This window comes from Homo sapiens, chromosome 2, assembly GCF_000001405.40.
Source record: "Homo sapiens chromosome 2, GRCh38.p14 Primary Assembly".
Classification (NCBI taxonomy): Eukaryota; Metazoa; Chordata; class Mammalia; order Primates; family Hominidae; genus Homo; species Homo sapiens.
In genome coordinates, this window is record NC_000002.12 from 8,613,918 (window position 1) to 8,635,827 (window position 21,910).

The window sequence follows — 21,910 nt, forward strand, 5'->3', positions numbered from 1 at the left end:
TCCAGTGAGTAAAGCATGTGGTGCTCTCGGCACAATGGAGGCCGCACAGTAAGGCTTTACCCTTCTGGCTTGTGGGTGAAGTCAGACCCTCTGAAAAGCAATAACTAACAATGCCAAGAGTATCCTAATGAGGGCACATGAAGGGCTTTGGAAACCCCGCATGGGGAGCCCGAGACTTGGCCTACAGTGGGTGGGCACAGATGAACCCTAGGGGGGCCTGGGGAGCTGACTCCGGAACACAGATCCGAGCCTGTTCTGGAAGGGACAACCCCTGTTGGCAAAGAGGGGACAAGGGGAGCCTTGTGAAATACTGCCTGTTTGGGGAAATGTGGGGAGTTTGTTGTAGCTGGGGAGAAGGCTGTGTTGGGGAGGGTGGTAAGAAATGTGACTGGAGAGGTTGAGAGGGTCCAGCCACAACTTTATCCCAAGAGCAAGGGGTTTAGCAGGAGGTGGTGTGGTCAGATCCGCAGCTTAGAATGACTGGCTGCTCCTGCTGCTGGGAGGAAGCTAGATTGGAAGGACAGAGGCTGTAAGCAAGGAGACTCGTAAGTCCAACAGGAGATGATCAGGGCCCTAACGGCAGTACTGCAGAGGCACCACATCCCTTCCCCTCCCTGAGCACGCGGGGAGGAGACCGTCTCCCGGAGTGCATTTCCCAGCCTCCTTTGCAGTGAGCTGAGGGGCCGCAGGACTGAGTTCTGACTAATAGAATGGGGCAGAAACGATGTAACCCATTTCAGGCTTGGCCCTTAACATCTTGCAGGACCCTCTCATCTGCTCTTACTTTCTGCAGCAAATTCAGAAGTACTGGTTCCAGATGGCAGAGCTACAGCTCGAATTAGACGAGATCCCAGAGTGGTGACCTAGAGGTGAGTTGCCAGAAGACCAGCCCGGCCATCCAGACACTGTGTTCAGCCACTGAGATTGCAGGGATATTTGTTACAGCAGCATGACCTAGCCCACCTGACTACGCCAGGAGGACTTGGGGCACTTGGAGAATGAGCAGGACTGGGGGAGAGAAAGGAGTCTAGGGGTGACTTCCTGGATGACCAGGTGAATGGTGGCACCATTAACTGTGGCAGGAGATGCTGGGTGCTAAGTCAGTACTTCTATCTTAGACAAGTGTGTTTGATGAGCTTAGGCAACAAGCAGGAACCCCCTGCAATACGTGCATGAAGCAGCATCAGGGAAAAGGCTAGAGCTGTGGACTTGGGTTTGTTGGCCTCCAGGTGGTCGCTGATGTCTTGTGGAAGGAAAGAGAGTGTCTGGGAGTGCCTTGGAGTGTGCAGGGCAAAGGACACTAATGCACAAGGAAAAGAAAAGGAGAAGGAGCCGGTGAAGGAGCCAGAAAGAGTCTGCTATTCGGGAAGGGGAAGAATGAGGAGAGGGTGATCAATGCCAAGATGCTGATCAACAGGCAAGTCTGATGCAGACCAAATGCACGCCCTGGATGTGGCACACAGTAGGCCCTGGAGGGGCATACAGAGCCAAGCCGGGTCAGGGGATGGAGGGCGGGCACCAATACCATGGTCTGAGACATAAAAGGTGCAGTGGGTGTCCCCGGGAGAAGCCCAGCCCAGAAGGGAAGGAGGGAGGTAAGGGAGATGCTGAGTTGAGAGATGCTCATGCCAAACAGAGAGAGATGGCAGAAAAGCGCAGCAGAGGGGAGGTTGGAGAAGATATAGCAGAGAGAGGTGGCACTTGGTGCAGAGACATCTAACCCCAAGGAGCAAAGGGCATGGTGAGAGATGGAGAAGAAAACCTCCAACTGCCAAGACCTTCCCAGAGCAACGTTCCCCCGACCCCACCCCAGAGGCTTCCAATTCCCTAAGATGGCAGCCAACTAGGGCTGCCGCAGCCTCTCCAGTGTGCCAGCCTGCTGGTGTCAGAAACCATTCAGCCCCATGGCCCAGGGACCAGAGGTTTGTGCCCTCTGCACGTGGCCCTGGTGCAAGGCCCTTGGCTGGGCACCGAAGAAGATAACAAAGTGTTTATGACAGTCGCAACCCTTCAGGAGCTAAAGCAGTCCAGGAGCAAGATAAGGCAAGTTCAGAAATAACTCATCTGCAGCAGACAGATAACTGGTAAGTGCCAGGGAGAGGAGCAGATAATGTGTGAGGGAGTTCACAGGGAGACTCCCTCCTGCTGGAAGAGATCAAGAAAGAAACACTGACGCAGGGCCTGGGGACCCAGGCCTAACCTTTGCATGCCAGTGTCTCTGCCGGGTTCTGGAGTAAATTGTCTCTCCTTCTTCTCGCCGGGGCTCCCTTCTCCATCCCATCAGCTCCAGCTCCTGCTCCCACCGTGGTCAGTGAGCTCGCGCTAGATGAGCATCCTGTTCCTCCGATCACCAGCAGCATCAGAAATCTGATGCATGAACAAGAGCAAAGTCACAGGGCTCCATAGACACCTCCTGGGATTGGGGCACAGACGGAACTTGAGCAGGACTTTAAAAATGAGCAAGTGTTAACAGCTCATGGCAGTCGGCAAGACTGGCTACAACCACAGCACCTGCTCTGACAAATACAGACCATCCTCCTTTATCAAGTCCTCCCTGTTGGATAACGAAAAATCCAACAGGTAAAGTTTGCTTCTCAGATCTTCTGAATAGTCATTGAATTCAGGCCATAAAATAATGTCAAACGCTTAAAAAAGGGAAGGGAATGAGGCATCTTGCGTACTGCACAGAGCAAACTGAAAACCCAGATTTATTTCCATAATGTGAATTTTTAAATATGATACTGAAATGGGCACAAAAGTCAATAACTTTATTAAAATGATTTTGCATTTCTTAACTTGATCTTTTCTGACACTACCCTTTGGAGTCACAGATGAGAAAAGCAAGACACATGACATGTGGTTCTACCTAAGGCAGCAAAGTGAATAGTGGAAAGACAAGCTTGTTCCAGAAACAGCATGGCGGGGAAGGGTGTCTGTCGTTCTAGATCTTTCCAGCTGACTCTGGGGAAAGGATGCAGGGAGAAGAAAAGCTCCTTCCAGGGACTGCCATTTTTCTGTGTGTACATGAGCTTCCGAGGGACGGTGGTCACCTCCAAGGTGAAATTTGTGAGCCACACACTCAAAAAAGGTTGGCGGGCCCGGAGGGGAGTCCAAAGGGAAGCCCCTACACACACAGACATGGAGATGTGCTTGCCTTAGGTCATGAGGATGCCAGAGCGGCTTCCTATGATTATTCAAGCCTGATGGAATTTCACAACTGGTGCGAGATGAGCGCAAGGTGTTTAGACACCTTGCAAGAGCTGGAATGCCAGGAGGGGCGGCCGGGGGGCGGTCTCCTCCAAAATTCAAACCCCCAAACAAGTCCGACTTTCTGCAGACAGCTCCTTCGCCATTCAGTAGGGACCTCTCCCCCAACACGGGACCAGCCCCTGAACTTGAAAATCCTACTTGGCTTCCCTCACCCCAAACACATCGGAGTCGCAAGCCCCACCAGGCCCGTTTCCAAGCCCCCACTCCTGTGTCTCCAGGAACCACTTGCCTTGTCTTGCCTTGCCTCAGAAGCATCATTTGGAAGCAGAAGCCTGTGGCTTCATTTCTTTTTATTTTAGAGCTGATCTGCTAGAAAAAGGTATTTTGCGAGGCGCAACGGAGGTAGAATGTCTCGTCAGCTAGCCACTTCACAGACATATGGCCTGCTATCCCACCAGTTAGGAAGTGATTATTGGAGCTGCACAAACAGATTTTTTTGTCAAAGTGGAGGTGTGATTTTCTCAGGTTCTGTGAGAACACACACACATATTTTTACCAACCCAATCTGTTTTCCAGCAGCCGGGTGGCCGCAGGGCCTGGACACCCGCTTGGTGTTTAGGAGTCATGAAGGGTGCCTGGCGAGGTCCCTGGAGGCTGCAAACCTACCTGGCAGGAGCCAAAGACCCCAGGTTCATTCTGTGACCACGAACAGAGCCTCTGCCTGCCCTTACCTGTGACAAGAGGGATGGCCACGAAAGCTGCCTCCTTGCACACAGAACCAAGCACCAGCGTTCACCCTACTATGCATCTGAGAGCCGGGACTTTTTTTTAAACTCACCACTGCTAGTTTAGTTCTAAAATCTCTTTGAAATAAAAATTAAGACACACAAGAGATACTAGGGTAAAGATGGCAGATGAAACACGTTCCTTTACTTCCATTCTCTCTCTAAATCCATCAAAGACAAACATTTTGTTTTGTTTTATTTTACAGTGTAGCTTTGTGCTATGGAATGTGGTAGCCCCTAGCTACACGGGCTACATTTACCTTTTTATTAAATCAATTCTAAACTTCAGCTTCCAGATCACACTAGCCACATCTCAAGCACTCAGCAGCCTCACAGGGTTAGTGGCTGATATACTGAACAGCATAGAAAAAGAATGTTTCCATCAGCATCACAGAAAATCCTATTGAACAGCACTGGGACGGAACCTCCAGGAGCAAAATCTCGGGAGAACACACTGGTAAAATGCCGGAGGCTGGGAAGGGAAGAGTGCGTGGGGGCTGGCTGAGCACGCAGGATACAGCTGAGCCCTACACCAGGATTGGGGGGAGCCAAGAAGCCAACTCACCCTTCGCACTCAAGGAGGCCTGAGCAGGGGCAGCGGAGGAAGCTCACGTGCCCTCACTCATAAAGAGAAAATTCTACACTAAGGTCATAGACTTTATTTAAAGGTTAAAAAAAAAATCCTTCTATTCTCTGCTTTGACAAATATACCTTCTTGGTGATGTAAAAGGCCCATGTGTTAGTTTCCTAGGGTGCCATGACAAAGTACACACACTGGGCGGCTTAGGACCACAGACGTTTATTCTCTCACTTCTGGAAACTAGAAGTCCAAGATGAAGGCGTCTGCAGGGCTGGTTCCTTCAGAAGGCTGGGAGGAATCTGTTCCTGGACTGTCTCTTAGTGTCTGATGATGACCGGCACTCGCTGGCGCTCCCTGGCCTGGAGATACATTTCTGCCTCCATCTTCCTATGGCTGTCCTATAAGGATACCCATCATCTTAGACTAGGACCCACCCGACTCCAGTATGACTTTATCTTAACTAATTATACCTCCAATGAACCTATTTCCAAATAAGGTCATGTCCTGAGAAACTGGAGGTTAGGACTGCAATGGATCTTTTTGAGGGGACACAATTCAACCCTTAACTGCAGGTTCAAATGGATAGTCCTCCTTGGACTTCTCAGTTCGGCACCAAAACACAGCAACATGGGAAGATCCCTGATCGTGGCCCATTCCCCTTCCTTCCCAGCCCAGCTCCATCCTGCACCTGAGGGAGCTTGCATGGCTCCATCCAAACCTCCCACAACCCCTTGCCCCCAGCCACTCCTCAGCCTAGGTGGCTCACACTGGCAGCATGGTCCACTCTGGAAGGAGGGCTCTGGAAAGAGCCCCCCCGCCCCGGGGCCCAGGGAGCAGGGTTGGGATCCTTTGGACAGGGAATTCCAAGGCCTCCTTTCCCTGGAGAATGTTCTAGAAGGAGGAATGAGGTGCGCACTCTGAGTGGGCATGTCCTCTTGGCCCCTGAGAAGGGGCACAGCTAGAAGAGGGAACATACACTCTCTGAGGCCGTGGCCCAGGTCTAAGGGCATTCCTGCCAAGAAGCAGCCAGGTTTACCAGCGGAACCCAAAGAGGGCTCAGGATTTGGGGGTGTCCACAACTTCTGAAAATGAGAAGGAACCTGCTCACAAAGTAGTGAGGTGCACAAATCCCCTTTCCGACACCAGCAAAAAACTGAAGGCTTATTCTCTGGAGAGGAGACCAGGTCTCTAGTTGGGGAGATCCCAGGCACAGCTGAAGGTCAAGGCACCACACAGAAGTAGCAGATTAAGGGAAGGTTTGTATATGGAATATTGACCTGCGATAGCCCTGCTCCAGCCCTCTTCTCTCTCTCGGCCTTCAGAACGTCTAGGTTGTCACTTCCAAGAGAGGATTAAAGGGCTTTTTTGAGCTCAAGCCAGTGCAAGAGGAAAAATCTAAAGATGCCGATATTGGTAGTTCCCCAGGAAAATAGTCCAACCAGATTCTTTTACAAGGAAGTCCACAATCAACAATCTTAATCACACATTTAGTGCTTCCAATCAACTTTTCATGCCCCACTCTTAAATATAAACCAGTGACTGAGGGTCTCAGCTGAAGAAAGCCCCTGACATGAGAGAGCGTGACCAAAACAAAGAGAAGAAGGTAACTTGGAGGAAACAGAGATTATGCATAGAGAAGAGAGAGTATAAAACAGGAAGCTATTATCAGTATCCTCAGATAGACAATCAGAGATGGCATCCAGGCACAAACACGTTTGTTTGTTTGTTTGTTTGTTTGTTTTTTAAAGAATATTTAGAGAACAGAAAGAATAGTTGTAAGCTTAAAATGCCGTGTTATAAATGTAAAGTTCATTCGAAAAATTAGAAGACAAAACAGAGGAAATAGAGAAAATAGAGCAAAAAAATGTAAAATTAGTTCAAGGGGTTCAACATATGAAGACAGAGTTCCAGAGAGAGAGAGAGAAACCAAGGAAAAGGTGGGAAAGGAAAGCATCATGACATAGTTTAGGAAATTTCAGAGAACTGAAAGACATTAATTTCTAGCCCGAAGGACCCAATGAGCACCCGCCCATATGACAGATGAAAAGATACCCAGCCTAAGCCACCCGCATAACATTTACAAACACTGAGGACAAAAGACAATCTTACAAGCTGACAGGGAGATACAAATAGGTCTTCTACAAAGGATCATGAATCAGAATAATTTTGATTCTCAAGACAAATCCTGGATGCTAGACTACAATGCAGCAAAAATCCAGGGGAAAATGATTTCCAACCCTGAATGCTGTACCAAACCCATTATCAACTAAGTGTGAGGGTACAATGGAGATGATGTCAGACATTCAAGGTGTCCAAATATTTGCCTCCCACGTCACAGGAATGATCAGGAAATTTGCTCCACCCAAATAAGAGAAAACCATGAAAACCAAGCCCTGTGTCCCTTGACTTTCTACTTACCAGTGAAATGCGGGTCTGAAGGATTTAAAATGTTGGGTTTTATCTTTTTTATTTGTGTGTGTGTTTGTGTGTGTGTGTGTGTGTGTGTGTGAGTGTGTGTGTGTGTGTGTTGCAGGAAGGATTGGAAGTTTCCTCAGTATCATCCCTTCATGGTTCACCAGGAAGATGTTACCGGAAAGGGGTCCCAATCCAGATCCCAAGAGAGGGTTCATGGACCTTGCGCAAGAAAGAATTCAGGGCAAGTCCATAAAGTAAAATGAAAGCAAGTTTATTAGGAAAAGTAAAGGAATAAAGAACAGCCACTCCTTGGCAGAGCAGCTGGGTCTTATCTTTAATATGCTTCCTTTCATGAGGATACATTCCACTTCGTCATCTGACTTACTGGTACTTGTGTCATGAGAGAAAACAAGCCTATTCCAATTTCTCAATTTTTTTGAAATCAACGTCAATTCCAAATTCAGTGCAGGTAGCGAGCCAAATGCATTTATAGCCCACTTGTTTTCTCTTTACATATCTTCCTTCATGGATCTTGCAAATAGCTTATTTTCCATTTCCATAATTTTTCATTATAACAGGAAGAGCCAGGAGAGCCGAGATAAATGAAATTATTAAATGGTCTCTTCAGACCCTTTCTTTATCCCAACATTTATCCATTCACTCATCTTCTAACCAAAGGTATATTTACAAGTAAGAAACAAACACGTGAGAGAATCGATGATTTCATCAGTGCTACCAAGAGGCAACAAAACTGAACGCCTTCACCCTCTTCATTTACGTTTCCACTGCCAGCTCTTGCAGACTCAGATGGACAGAAGGGAAACCAGGCAAGGGAGCTCAAAGACTAGGGAGATCACGTCCAGGCGCGGTGGCTCACATCTGTAATCCCAGCACTATGGGAGGCCAAAGTGGGCGGATCACCTGAGGTTAGGAGTTCGAGACCAGCCTGGCCAACATGGTGAAACCCCGTCTGTATAATAAATATACAAAAATGAGCCAGGTGTGGGAGGCTGAGGCAAGAGAATCGCTTGAACCTGAGAGGCGGAGGTTGCAATGAGCCAAGATCATGCCACTGCTCTCCAGCCTGGACAACAGAGCAAGACTCTGTCTTCACAAAAAAAAAAAAAAAAAAAAAAAAAAAAAAAGGCAAGGGAGATGAAGATGAACCAGGAAAGCTCTCATAATGTTTTCATAATTGACCTACAAACCTAAATTCTGTGGAAAAGAACCCAGTGCAAAATCCCAAAGTAGTGGTAAAATTCCCACTTGTTAGGTTCACATTTCAGGCATGCCTCCATATTAGCTTCCCATTTCCTTCTCTCCTGCACTAATCAGGAATGAAATAAAGACTCAAACTTCAACCTGTGGCCTTCAGTTGAACCCCAGGTCTCCAGGGAGCCCTAATGGCTTTTTGAGCCTGGCCTCCCTGTTATGTGGACAAGCAAACAGGCAGGCCTAGGAAGATGACCAGTCTCCCCAAGGTCAGCGTGGGCCAGAGGTGCAGCTGGGACCAGAGCCTTGCCCTGCCCCTACCTTCCCCTGCATTGCCTCCAAGGAGAGAAAAACAGCCCCAAAAGACCCCCATCCCCTTGCAGCCCCCAGGGAGGCCCAGCACCTCCAGTGAGTGGTTCTGCCTCCCCAGCCAGCTCTAAGGTGACCACTGCAACCTTCTTCACACTCCTCAAAGCTCAGAGCCACCGCCTCCTGCCAGCTCTCAGCATCTGACTTTACCTCAGAGAAAACAGAAGCCAGCAGAGGGGAACTCCAGCCCTGTCAGCCCCGATCCTTGAACCCCAGCCCTGCGCCACAGCCCAGCTCCTCCCCTGTCTCGCCCCTCTCCCTCCCCAAGGCCAACCCCTCACCTTCAGGCACAGTCCTTGTCACATTGATGAACCCAGTTCCCCTCTGGTCTCTTCCTTCTCTCCCAGCTACTTGCGTCAACTTTAAAACATGCTCATGTCCCTCCCGTTAGACAGACAGACACACACACACACACACACACACACACACACACAGAGCCCTCAGGCTCCTCCTTCCTCCCCTCCAGTGCAGCCCCCACCCACCTCCTTCCTTAAATCCAAGAGACCTCTCCATTCGCTCATTCTTTTCCCCCTGACCTGCCTGGTGAACTCAGTGCCTCGTTCTCAACCTTCTCCTCCTCCTCCTGGGAGCACTCTCTCTCTTCCTCCTGGGCTGAGCTTGCCCTTGGGCAGCCCTCGCTCAGTCCTCTCTGCAGTTCTGCCTCCCGGGCCCCCTGCACCTGTGGATCCCAGGGCAGCCCTGGCAGTCTTCTCTTTGCACTTGGCCTCTTCCTGGGCACGAGCCTCCTCCGTGACTTCACTTAGCATCCATTCACCTACAGCCTGACCTCCAGGCTGAGTACCGCCTGCTAGATGACCGCGCCCAGTCACCCCACAGAGACCTCAAACGCAGCATCCCAAGAGCCACGCTCCCCTCCCGACCAGGCCCCACGGACCACAAGATTTCTCCCCTTCCTGCACAATCTCTCCCTTCCCAGATGCATGGCTCACCACTCCCTCCCTTGCCCTGCACTCTCCAGTCACACAAATGTGACTCTGGTCCCAAATTGTCTTGCTCAGGGCCTCACACATGCTATTCTGTTGGAAACCCTCTTCTACCCCTGCCCACCCCTCCCTACCCCCAACCCTTAAATGACTAAGTCCTAACTCTCAGGTCTCAGCTTAGACGCCACTTCTTCCAGGGTGGTCTCCTCTGACTCCCCGAGTCAGAGTCAGGACCCCCTCTCTCTGGACACCCGCTTCGGAGCTGCTGTTGTGGGTCTCACTACACAAGAACGGCGGCCTGCATCTACCTTGCGCTGCTGAGTTCTCAGCTACCGGCACACGGCTGGCACTCAATGGGCACGCCACATGCCCACACTTGTGGAACTTCACCCGTGATCTAGTTTTGTGTCCCTGAGCCTGGCACACAGTGGACCCTTCCGGAGTGTTCACTGCTTCTGCTTCCACTGCTTCATGTGGAAGAAGGTGCCCACTGGGCAGACCAGAACCCACTAATGCTCATGGACCAGGGAAGAGGAGCAGCTGATCTGGGAGACACAGACTGGGGCCACACGAACCCCCAAGCCCCAGGGAAATGAGCTCAAGCTGATGGCCTCAGCCCTGCTCCACAGGAGACACAGAGCTTCCTGGATGCAGTGGGCATCTGAGAACAGGATAAAAATCTGCCCTAGGTCTATGGGAACTGGGCCTCCCATCCCAGGAACTGTGCCACCTGTGACAGGTCACTGGGGAATGCCCCACTCCCTCCCTGGGCACGGAGGAGCTGAGGAGGCCCTGACCAGTCATGTGACTGGACTGCCGAGCTCCAGCCAGCCCCACGTGTGGGCAGCACCCTGGCCTCCAACCCAGCCACACAATGCTGCAAAGCGACCACCTGGGCAAAGCCAGGGCTCCGAGGCACAGGCAACCACGATGTCCTGGCCACCAAGGGCTGCTCTAGCAGGGACCTGTCTTTGGCAAGCTGCCCTAATCTAATCAGTGTCTGAACACAGCAAGCAGTGCCCACCCGCAGGACCAGAACACAGAGGAAACCCTTGAAAACTGGCCCAGGACTAAGCTTCCCTCTGAGTCAAGCTGCGTCTCTGAGCCTCTGCCCAGACATCCCAGAGCATTCGGTGCTGGTGCTGAACACAGCCCCGGGGAAGGCGCCCTGCCTCCAGACTCACCTTCTCCTTCTTCCTTCCCTCTTATTGTCCCTCCCAGGATAATTAAACAATAATGATTAGTGCCAAAAAAAACAACATGTCGTTTTCCTGGGGACTCGGTTCTTGAGCTTTCTGAATAAGGAGGCAGCGTTGATCGGGAGAAGTAGGGCAGGGGCAACAACTGGGGCCCTAGAGCAGAGGAGTCTTCCATTTCCTCATCTCTAAAATGGGTCACACATGGTATTTCTGCTGCTCCGGGATGACCCCTCAAAGCAAACTGCACCCGGGATGTCCACTTCAGCTGCTTCGCACCCCGAGGTTACACCTGGTCAGACTGCAGGACTGGCCTTTCTCGTCCAGTCTGCAGCAGGGCCCTTGCCACCCGCCCGGCCGGGTCCAGCAATGGGCCCCAGTGTCATCATTCAGGCCCAGGCCCAACTTCTCCCCAGAGGCTGGAGGGGCTGGGGTGACCTTCTAGGCACATCGGGGCACAAAACAGAAGGCGGGAGATGCACACTACTTCTGCCTAGCAGTCGTGCCTTTCCCTCTTCTGTGGATAAATGAGTCACTTTTTCATTGTCCCAGTACAAATAGAATTTGGCTGAAAGGTCTGGCGTTCATGGGGCTCATTTCGCGTTCTTTTGATAGTTGTATTCTATTTGTCACACATGGTATTTCCTTCCCTGTGGCAGGTGGTTGGGGAGGGGAGGTTCCCACCCCCAAAAGTGAAGCGTAGGGTCTGGAGATTTCCTCACTAATCCACTGAACAGATCCTGATTGAGGGTCTACCTTCTAGAAAGGAGAGAGAGATAATAAATGATAAGCTTGGTACATAAATAAGTTATGTAGTAGGTTAAAGGTCACAATACACAGAAAATAGAAGACTGGGGAAGGTGAACTAGGGGGTGAGGGAAGGTGGGGGCAGGTTGTACATTAAATAGGTTGGTCAACATGGACCTCATCGAGAGATGAGATTACAGCCAAAGCCAGGGTCAACCAAGAGGGACTGTGGGTAAAGACCATTCCTGGTAGAGGGAATGGCTGGAATGAGGCTCCCAGGGGAGAGTGTGCCTGGAGCACGGGCAGAGTCCTCCCCAGTCCAGACATCTGGTCCACCCCTGACCCCCGATTCTGATCTGGGCATCTTCTGGCAACAGGATGGGGGCCAGGCCTTGCCCCCAGGAGCCCGAGCCCAGCCAGGTCTAGCAACTGAGGCCCTGTGTCCCTAGCCTGCCCAGATGTCCACGTGTGACCCACTCCTGCAGAAGCGCTCTGCTGCACCGGGATGACCCCTCAAAGCAAACTGCACCCGGGACGTCCGCCTCAGCTGCTTGGCACTCTGAGTCAGCCTGCAGGACCTGCCTTTCTCATCCAGCCCGTGCCACCCACCTGGCCGGGTCCAGCAGTGGGTCCTACCACCATCGTTCAGGCCCAGGCCCAGCTCCTTTCCAGAAGCTGGAGTTTACGAGGCCATGCCGCTGACCACACTGCCAAGTCGTCCCAGTCACCAGGCACAGCCACCAGGAGCGCTGGGTGGGACCGGAGGCAGCCCTAGAAAACGGGGCTGCCTGGAGGTGAGCAGACTGGTGGACGATGGACGCAGGCCAGATGCGGGGACCACAGATGCGCTGCTGTGAGGACAGAAAACAGTTGCAGGTGTCCCAGAAAGCGTTCCAAAGAGGAAGGCCCTCTCACCCCTGGAGCACGGTTTCCAGGCCCCCAGCCCACAAGGACAGCCCCTCTGTGTCCAGCCCTAGATCCCACTCACACCTGCCTTGAAGCGCTGGCTGTGGACATGCTTAAATCTACTCACATGTGCCTCAGACCTGGGTTGGGGGTGGGCAGGAATTTCCAAAATCTTTTTAGACGGATTCAGATTCTTTTTAGCTATCCAATCCTTTCTTCAAATGAAATGGGGCTCATGAAGAACCCCAGTAGACAGAGCGGGACATGAAGCGGGTTGGAGGGAACGCTAGGACCCTCACTGGAGCACCCACACTCACCCCCGACAAACCCCCCAGGAGACCACGGCCCCCAAGAGCAGGGGTGGCTGCGCTCCTCACAGCCTGTGGCTCACAGCTCACAGCGGAGCTGCAGGCCCAGCTGAGACGAGGCGGCAGAGAGTGGAGTGGATGAGCGGGGTGTGCGAGAGTGTGTCTGTGACAGTGAGTGTGTGTGTGTATGAGAATGTGTGTGAGAGTATGTGTGAGGAGTCTGAGAGTGTGTGTCTGAGAGTATGACTGTGTGTGTGGAGTGTGAGAGTATGTGAGTGTGTGTGGGAGTGTGTGTGGGAGTCTGTGTGTGGGAGTCTGTGAGTGATAGTGTATGACTGTGTGTGAGGGTGAGCATGTGTGTCTGTGTGATAGCAATAGTGTGTTTGTATGTGTATGATTGTGTGTCAGTACATGTGTGAGTGATGTGTGTGTGTGTGTGAGTGTATGTGAGAGAGTGTGTGAGTGTGTGTGTGAGAGAGGGAGAGAGAGAGGGAGAGAGAGAGGGGAAAGGGCTATCAATGTAATTTGCCTCTACAGCTAAACACACAGGCCGTAATCATAGCCATTTTACTAAATGCCCATAAAACTAAAAAACAAATAGGAAACCTCCGGATTACAGGGCCTTCTCTGAGCAGGGAGTGGCGCAATCAAGTGCTATCTGCGCTAAGTCCCAGCTTGCAGTGAGTGACCCAGGAGGCGCGGGTAAACAGAGAGAGGACCCCGTTCCCTGTCCCCCCCATCAAACCTCCAAGGCTGAATGCCTCCGAGGCTGAGCGCCGGGGGAACGGGGGGCTTCCTGGGAACGCAGTCCCCTCCGTGTGGGGGTCCTCAGCTCCCCTGTGTGAGCCTGTGCCATGCGGAACGGGACCACAGCCTCAGCCTCACAACGTGCCTGTGACCCAGCGGGAGTGGAACCCAGGCCTCTGGCACCGGGGACCCTCAGAACCCTGCCTGCAAGGGAACCCCAGACTTTGAGGGGAACAGCCTCGTGCAGCCCTCATTTCTCCCTTACAGCTGTGGGACTTCACAGACAAGCAAAAGAAAGGGAGCATTTTAGCAAGAGCAGCCTCAACGCCACCCCCTAGAGAGCAGAAAAAAAGGGATGCTACCCCAGGTCTTACTCTAGGGTCTCCCCTCGGCCACACTCCCTGCCTCAACAGAATCTCAAGCGCCAGAATCACCAAAGGACATTCTAAGTGTCATTCCGCCCTGAGTGTCAGAAAATGCCTGCAGTGGATCCTCAGTGGCCTCCGCTGATGTAAGGAGGGTGGCCCGGAGGAGGCCGCCCTGCAGAGGGCTCCCCAGCACAGCAGCCGCGGGGACCCAGCACGCCAGGCGCACGACAGGGAGCAGCCGGTAGCCGGGGCAAAGTCTGCAAGGATCCAAGCAGGACCTGCCCCACCCTGGTTCCACCCTCACTTCTTGATGCTTGCCTTCCAAAGACCTGGGGACTTACCTGTCCCCTGAAAGATACGTTTACCAGGTAACAGCATCTTCCCAACCCCCACGAACCTCGCACTCCAGGCTGTGTGCACCTCAGATCTCTGTGGAAGTGGCATCTACTACTGAAAACATTTTTTTGGCAGAAAAAAAAAAAACCCTCAGCTTTAAGAGACTATTGCTGGCAGTGCAGGCTCCAAGCAGACCCAGAATCAGGCCTAGCCAGGCCCTTCCGGCAGCCCCCTCAAGCTCCGAGCTCCCTCCCAGCAGGGCGTCCCTCCGCTGCACCCTCATGGATGCCCCATCCACCTGATGGCAGCCCCTCCTTAGTTCTGGCCACTCCTTCAGCACCAAGGCCTGGGAGGTGGCTTAGGAGGTGAAGAGGAAGGAGCAGCAGGGATGCCCCGAGGCAGACGCCCGGGAGTCATGCACTAGGGCCTCCCAGGGCTGACTGGGCCAGGCACCTGCGCAACCCTCACTGACATGGCACGGAGAAGGCAGTTGGACGGTTCCTGGTGGTCTCCATTCTTCATCTCCTGAGCTCCTCTTACACTGGGGTCAGCCTCCCTCCCCTGGCTGGCACAGGGCTGGTCTCAGCCAAACCCTGTGTCCCTGCCATCTACATCAGTCGGTCCCATGTGAGAAGGAGTGACTCAGGCACTTTGTAATGCAAGATCGTTTACTTCAAGGCGCAAGAGGCTGAACCTGCTTACCCCACCTGGCCGGGAGCCCCCTTGTGGAAGAGAAAGCGGAGGGTTGGGGCGGGCGGGGGGACCGGTGCCCCACCCTGCAGAGTGCTAGCTGAGTTAACCTGCCACAAAAGTATTAGATATCTGGGATAAAATGATCATGGGTGGTGTCACCCCCTTCTTATTAAAATTCTGGGGCCAATGGTTTCATGTGGTTTGAGAGAAAGAATGCTCCCTGGCTGGGCACAGTGGTGCACAACTGTGGTCCCAGCTACTCAGGAAGTTGAAGTGGGTGGATCACTTGAGCCCAGGCAGGTCAAGGCTGCAGTGAGCCGTGACCGCACCACTGCACTCCAGCCTGGGCGACAGAGCAAGACCCTGTCCCCCCACCAAAAAAGACAGAAATGTTCCCCTACGTTTCTTACATAAAGGCAAGACCAGCACCCGCCCCCCGCCCCTGCCACCTTGTCTCATGGATGCTGTCTGTGCCTTTAAGACGCCCAGTGGACGCACACGCCCGAGAGCTTAGAAAGTATTGCCTGTCACCGCCAGATTTTTTTTTAGGTGTGCAAACATCCAGAAATCAGCATGGTTCTAATTTCTACTTGACAAGTCCATGTAGTTAATTTTAAAATGAAAATTGTGTCCGTTTCAAACTTCTCTTTCCTCTTTTTCACACTAAATACCAATACCCTTGGTGCCAGACTCTAGAGTCTCTTTCTATGGGCAACATTGGGAGTAAGGATGGGACCTTCCCCACCGCCTCACCCAGCAGGCTGTGCATTCCCAGCCAGTGCCTGGGACAGGAGAGCCATCTGATAGTTGTCCATAGAAGGAATGCCTGCTCTGGCCTGGTATGAACACACGCAGCCCAGGACCTCCAGGCCACCAGTCACGTGTGGGAAGAGAGGGTGCAGCCCCTCCCTGCAGCCCAGAGAGCAGGAGAATCCAGCCCTGGGGACCGCCTAGGGCTGGACTATGGCCCCACCACCCCACTTGCTGTGTGACTCTTGACAAACTACACAATTTCTCTGTGCCTCAGTTTCCTCATCCTGTGAAGTGGAGAGTGTTACAGAAGCCACCAAATAAAGCAGCAGCCACCAAATAAAGCCCCTGTAAGGATTAAGAGAAAAAATGTAAGTGAATAATGACATGTAGCCAGGTTGCACGGACTGACACTCCATCAACAGAAATGCAGAGGGCTCAGTATGTTTATGGTTGATCAAACTGATTCACAGAAAATGTAATGAGAAAGCACCCTGCCACCTGTCATAAAATTCTGATTTATTTTACCCTAAAAGTCACTTTATAAGAAATCAAAGGCAGCAGACATGATCATTCACTAAGCAATACACATATAATTAGTGAATGCCTCTGTATGTACATCATACTTTCATACGTTTATTTTATAGGACATTGGGCTATCATTATTATGTATGAATAATCTTAAGGTGGGATATGCTCACCTTTAATAATTCAGGGAACAGTATTTTTACTCATAAAGTCATAGAGTAAGTGCTCACGAATGTGCTGTTTCTAATGGGATATTGTACTTGGTTTCACTGATTTCTCAACTTAAAAGTCCCAAAATTTTATTTTCCAAAAAATCTGCTTAGAAAAGTTCCTATTCTGGCTGAATCCAGGTATGATTGCCTTTATCCAAAATGGATTATTCATCATTCTAAAACCTGTAGGTGCTTAGGGGTTCAGGGTAAGTTAGGTAAATTAGGTGGGTTCAGAGTAAATTAGTTAGGGTTCAGGTGCTTAGGGGTTCAGGAATATGGTTCCCAAGAAAATGGATAAAACACACACTTGAAACTGAGGGGCGGGGGGGCAGGGGGTCGGGGGAAGTTCTTCAAACTGGGACCCTTTCGTTTGGAAGCAAGAAGTTAAGAGTTTCCCCCCACGCAGCGTTTGCCCCTCCGTGGCCACTGCCCCACCCGGCTCTGCCCTGGTGGTCACCGCAGGATCTTGGACTACCACCCGCGATTGTTACCTGGGTCTCCCCACCTCCCCTCCCATAAACATTAACTCATCGTGCTTTTGTGTTTCCCAACCCCATACAATGCGTCCTTCCCAAGGCCATGGGCTACTTCTAAGCCTAGTTAATCCTCCTCGACAGGCTGATGGAGCTGGGATAAGAAGTTGCCGAGGAGTCTCTGTGGCTGAATAAATCCAGACCACCCTCTCCCACTGCACGTGTCCCCACAGGCTGAGGGCCTGGGCCCATGGGGGGCTGCGCCATGGTGGGACCCAGACTTGTGGGCACGTGGCTTCCCATCTTCTGGGGCAGGCAGGACAGCGGGGATCCAATCAGCACAGTTCACAGCCCATTGGCCAGAGCACATCACTCACCTCCCCTGGAGCTAGGAGACCCCAGGGTGCCAGGAATTAAATACAAGCAGGAGCACCAGGAACCTGGGCCGACCTCTCTGGTCATGCCTCTGTACCCACCACCTTAAAGCTTCTCCAAGTCTGCAAAGCCCCCTCCCAGCCCTTCCCCTTGGCCACCATAGCATCCTCTGCGTAGACCTGGCCCCTGTCCCTGCTGACCCCTGCTCCCAGGCACTCTTCTCCTGCTCCACACGCTCCTCCCAAGCGCCTTTGTCAGAGGCAGTACCTCTCATTGCAGACCCCGGAGAGACAGGGTGGCAGGGTGAGGCACTGCGGGGCGAGAAGTGGAGCCGCCCAGACAGGAAGCCGGAGTCCTGGATGGTGGTGGTGCCCTCTCAGAATCCGTGGGAAAGCAGCGGGGTTGGAGGACAGCACCCTGAGAGGGAGGAAGCTCACCGGGCATGAGACACTGATACTCAATATCTGGCAGGAGGGACTCCCCAAGCAGACCCCAGCAGGCCTTCCCGATGCCCCCAGGCAAAAGCAATTTCCCTCTCTGGAGTTCCTCCAATGCCCTGTGGCCGTGTCCCCAGCACTGCCTTGTTTTAGGGTCCCCTGTGCACGCACCTGTCCCCAGCTAACAGAAAGCTCTGAAGGCAGGTGCAAGGCCTCACTCCTCCCTCTCCAGCCCTCATGCTTTGCTGTAAGCAGCTCCGGGCCCATTCGTTCAGCTCAACGGAGCAGCTTCCGGAGCCCAGAGGAAGTCACCTCCCAGGTGCAGCCCCCTCCCAGGGCTTGTGAGGAAACACTGTGAGCCAGAGCCCTGCAGGTCAGCTAGAAGGAGGGGGGTGAAGAAGCGTATTTCTCTGGATTGGCACAGATGAGGCATCACCATGCAGGCAGATTAGGGGGAAGGTTCTGGAACCTCCTGGCTCACATCCCTCACTTCCTGTGGCCCAGTTTCCAGCCCTAGACTTGGGTCTCACTGGGCTAATATCAAAGTATAATAAGCAGGGCTGGCTCCTTCTGGAGGCTCAGGGGACAATCTGTTTCCTTTCCTTTTCTTGCCATGTTCAAAGCTAGCCATGGCCAGTGAGTCTCACATTTCACTGGGACACTGACTCTCCTGCCTCCCTCTTCCACATTTAAGGACCCTCAGGATTCCATCAAGCCCACCTGGCTAATCCAGGATAATCTCCCCATCTCCATAGCCTTCACTTACTCACATCTGCAAAGTCCCTTTGCCATGCAAAGCACCATATTTACGGGATCTAGGGCTTAGGATGTGGCCATCTCTGGGGGCCATTATTCCACCCACCACAGTCCAAGGAAGGTGCTCTCGGCAAGACACTGTGAATACGGAGGCACCCTAGGGTCCAAGTCAGAGCCTGGGAGAAGATAGGCAGCCTCTGAGCTCCCCATGTGTCATATTTGTAATCAGAGAACAACACCCACCAGGTACCCAGTGGGCTCACAGCACTGGGGAACGCCCCCCGCCCCCCACCCCAGGACAGGCAGTCACTGAAGGTCCTGTTTGAGCAGAAGGATGGAGGGGGTGTTGTTCTTTTGTAGGATGGCTTCCTTGAGGAGGCAGCATTTCTGCTGCTTTGTAAGTCATGGAAGGGAAACAGCTGGAAGGCCTGAGTTTGAGGAGAACACTCCCAACATCTGGGCCACAGCCCCCTATAAGGCCCAAGGCCTGGAGCAGCTCCAGCTGAGGGGAATCCTCAGCTGGTGAGGACATCCCAGGGACCCCAGTGAGGGGCTCTGAACTGTGGGTGAGATTCAGTGTGAAGTGTTGAGTCCCGAGGAGCCCAGGCCGGCCTCTGAGACACAAGCGCCTTTGTCAGAGACAGCACCTCTCATTGCAGACCCCGAAGAGACAGGATGGCGGGCTGAGGCACTGCAGGGCGAGAAGTGGAGCAGCCCAGACAGGAAGCCGGAGTCCTGGATGGTGGTGGTGCCCTCTCAAGATCCGTGGGAAAGCAGCGGGGTTGGAGGACAGCACCCTGAGAGGGAGGAAGCTCACTGGGCATGAGACACTGATACTCAATATCTGGCGGGAGGGACTCCCCAAGCAGACCCCAGCTCGTTCAACTACAAAGACTTTGAGCATCACCTCAGATCTCCAGCAGTCAGAGAATCTGCCATCCTAGGGTGGGGCAGCATCCTAAAATGTCATCTGGTCTGCCCCACCTGCCAGAGGAAGGCAGAAGCTACATTGTCATCACAGCACGGAGCAAGTAATGGCAGCCTTCTCCAGAAAGTCCCCTGAGATGTGGGCAGAGCCACAGGTGGGATCTGGGCCTCCAATTTCCTGTCCAGGGGCCCGGAGCCTCCTCTCTCACAGCTTTGGAAGCCTGAGGGAGTCCTGTAGCTGTAAGGACTCGGCTGGGGGTGCTGGGGCCAACAGGTCATCCTCCTCATTCCTGCTCAGACACCCTTCCAGCTGCACAGTCTTCTGCCAACCACTTAACCTCTCTGAGCCTCAGTTTCCCCATTGGAAAAGAGGACCTGAGCATTCCCACGCACCAGGGAGCCAAGGACTTCCCTTGGGACTCATCAAACACCAGTTCCTTCCCTCGTCCTTCCCCCTCCTTCGTCCCCCTCCTTACTTAATTCAAGTCAAGCTAAATTGATTTTTTGAATCAGCCTCACTAATTTCCGGTCCTGGCAGCTTCCAAAATGAAAATGCCTTGTTCAAAGCCCACAGTCTGAGCTTCCTGTGGTCTTCTCGTGTGGACCACATATCAACGGGGCGGGTGAGGAGTGGGGTCAGCCCCAGGGAGCCTGAAGCAGCCCTGGCCCCACAGCGGTGGCACAACCAGTTTAATTATTAACTCTTTCTCCGGTGCAGTCAGCCGCCAACGCACATTCATGAGATACTAACCCCTTCATCTCCCTCCACATCACTCGGCCACCCACACGACAAGAGCACCAGCGTGCCTGGGTTCTGAGTCACTTTCCAACATGGTATTTCATTCCCTTCCAGGATTATTTATCATCAGGGACCACATACGCTTTATATGTCAACAGCCCATTCTGCAGCTGACATCCCTCACCTCCTCCAGGCTGCTCTGCCCTGCTCAGCCATCTCTCTGTTCCTTGCGTCCTTCTCCAGTCCTCACCTCTCTCCCAGTCTCCCAGGGTCACCAGAGCTTCTCAGGCCCCTATCCCTTTCCTGGACAGAAGCCTCGCTTCACAGGCCCCGACCAGCCCAGATCACTTTCCTTCCCCCACTTCACTTGTAAGCACCCCTGTTTCTTAAAGAAACTCCTGATTTTCTTCCTTCTTCTGGGCCCACTGCTGGCACGGCAGGGGAAGCCATTTCCTTCCCCACCATCCACCCCTTGATGAACACAGATATCCTAAGCATTCTCATCACACTCCTGCACTTTCGAAGCTCCCACTGTGTAGGACACCACAGCTCAATTCCTCTTCATGGTTTTCAAGACCTCCTGGCATCTGGCTCCGGCATCTGGTTCCAGCCTGCAGACCCAATCAGTATCCGGGTCCAAGCCCCTGGTCCTCCCTGCTCACCAGCAAACGGCTGGTGCATGTCTTCCTGACTGTCTTGGCTCAGGCCACCCCTTCCATCTGAAGTGCCCTGTCCTCTTGCCCCCACCTAACCCATGAGCTCCGGGCAGGTGGTATCTCACCCTCTTAGCAACCCCACACTACCTAACGTAGTTCAGTTCAAGCACACCGTCAAAGCCAGGCGAACACTTGGTGTATTTGTTCCCTGGGGCTGCCGTCACCAATTACTGATGGCTTCAAACAACAGAAATGTATTTCTTCACAGTTCTGGTTGCCAGAAACCTGAAATCAAGGTGTGGGCAAGGTCGTGCCCCGTCTGAGGGCTTGGGGAGGACCCACCTGAGCCTCTTCTTAGCTCCGGCTTTGCCAGCCATCTGTGCCATTCCTTGGCTTGCAGAGGTCCCTCTCCAGCCTCTGCCTCCACCATCCCACGGTGCTCCATGCGCATGTCCAAATCTCCCTCTTCTAATAAGGAACCAGTCACTGGATTAGGGCCCACCCATAAGACTTCATCTTAACTTGATTACATCTGCAAAACTCCTATTTCCAAATAAGCCACAGTCACAGGCGCCCAGGTTAGGACTTGGACGTATCCTACTGCGTTTGGGGAATGCAATTCTACTCACAGCGTTAGCCATGTACCTCAGACAGTGATGCATCTGCCTGAGTCTAGGTTTTCTTAACTCTAAGACAGCACTCCCATCTCAGGGAAGTTGTGAAGCTGTCATGAAACTGGCAGGTAAAACCCACCCACTTCTTGGCACAGATTTCTCGACCTTTTTCTGTCAAGGCCCACAGGACATCCTTGCAGGCAGAGCTGCAGGCCCAGCAGCTGTGACAACAGTATAACCAAAATCTAGAATCTGTGCTAATTTTTTTTTTTAAGAGATAGGGTATCTCTCTGTCACCCAGGCTGGAGTGCAGTGACAGGATCATAGCTCACTGTAACCTCCAGCTCTTAGACTCAAGCAATTTTCCTGCCTCAGTCTCCCAAGTAGCTGGGACTACAGACAACTGCCACCACACCTGGCTAATTTTTATTTTTTGTAGACACAGGGTCTCACTATATTGCCCAGGCTGGTCTCAAACTCCTAGCCTCAAGCAGTCCTCCCACCTCAGCCTCCCAAAGTGCTGAGATTACAGGCATGAAACACCTCACCCAACCCCAACCTGTTTTTTTAATTGAAGAATAACTGGCGAACTATGCCATCTTAAAATGATTAACATTATTATTATAT

General features: G+C 52.5%; 1 long non-coding RNA gene across 2 annotated transcripts in view, besides 3 other annotated features; it reads right to left on the reverse strand.

The window, feature by feature from the left end:
• The window catches only part of LOC105373411 (uncharacterized), a 57,557-nt gene that overhangs the window by 15,049 nt on the left and 20,598 nt on the right, over positions 1-21,910 (reverse strand). Inside the window, exon 1 of one of the 2 annotated variants that reach the window (XR_922758.2) lies at positions 8,853-8,996. The exons of the other annotated variant lie outside the window; for it this stretch is intronic. This is a non-coding gene — a long non-coding RNA (uncharacterized LOC105373411). Of the gene's footprint in view, positions 1-8,852; positions 8,997-21,910 lie in introns of those variants that run through there. 2 annotated transcript variants of the gene reach the window in all.
• Positions 19,261-20,460: an enhancer, noted in NCBI's record as "P300/CBP strongly-dependent group 1 enhancer chr2:8773308-8774507 (GRCh37/hg19 assembly coordinates)". NCBI's record gives its function as "activates an origin of replication core promoter dependent on BRD2, BRD4, P300/CBP, MED14 and CDK7 cofactors, with strong dependence on P300/CBP, by STARR-seq in HCT116 cells {active_cell/tissue: HCT116}" and the evidence as "EXISTENCE:reporter gene assay evidence [ECO:0000049][PMID:35650434]".
• Positions 19,261-20,815: a biological region, named in NCBI's record as "P300/CBP strongly-dependent group 1 enhancer GRCh37_chr2:8773308-8774507".
• Positions 20,314-20,815: an enhancer, noted in NCBI's record as "H3K4me1 hESC enhancer chr2:8774361-8774862 (GRCh37/hg19 assembly coordinates)". NCBI's record gives its function as "activates a minimal SCP1, AML or CMV promoter by ChIP-STARR-seq in primed H9 embryonic stem cells {active_cell/tissue: H9 hESC(primed)}" and the evidence as "EXISTENCE:reporter gene assay evidence [ECO:0000049][PMID:30033119]".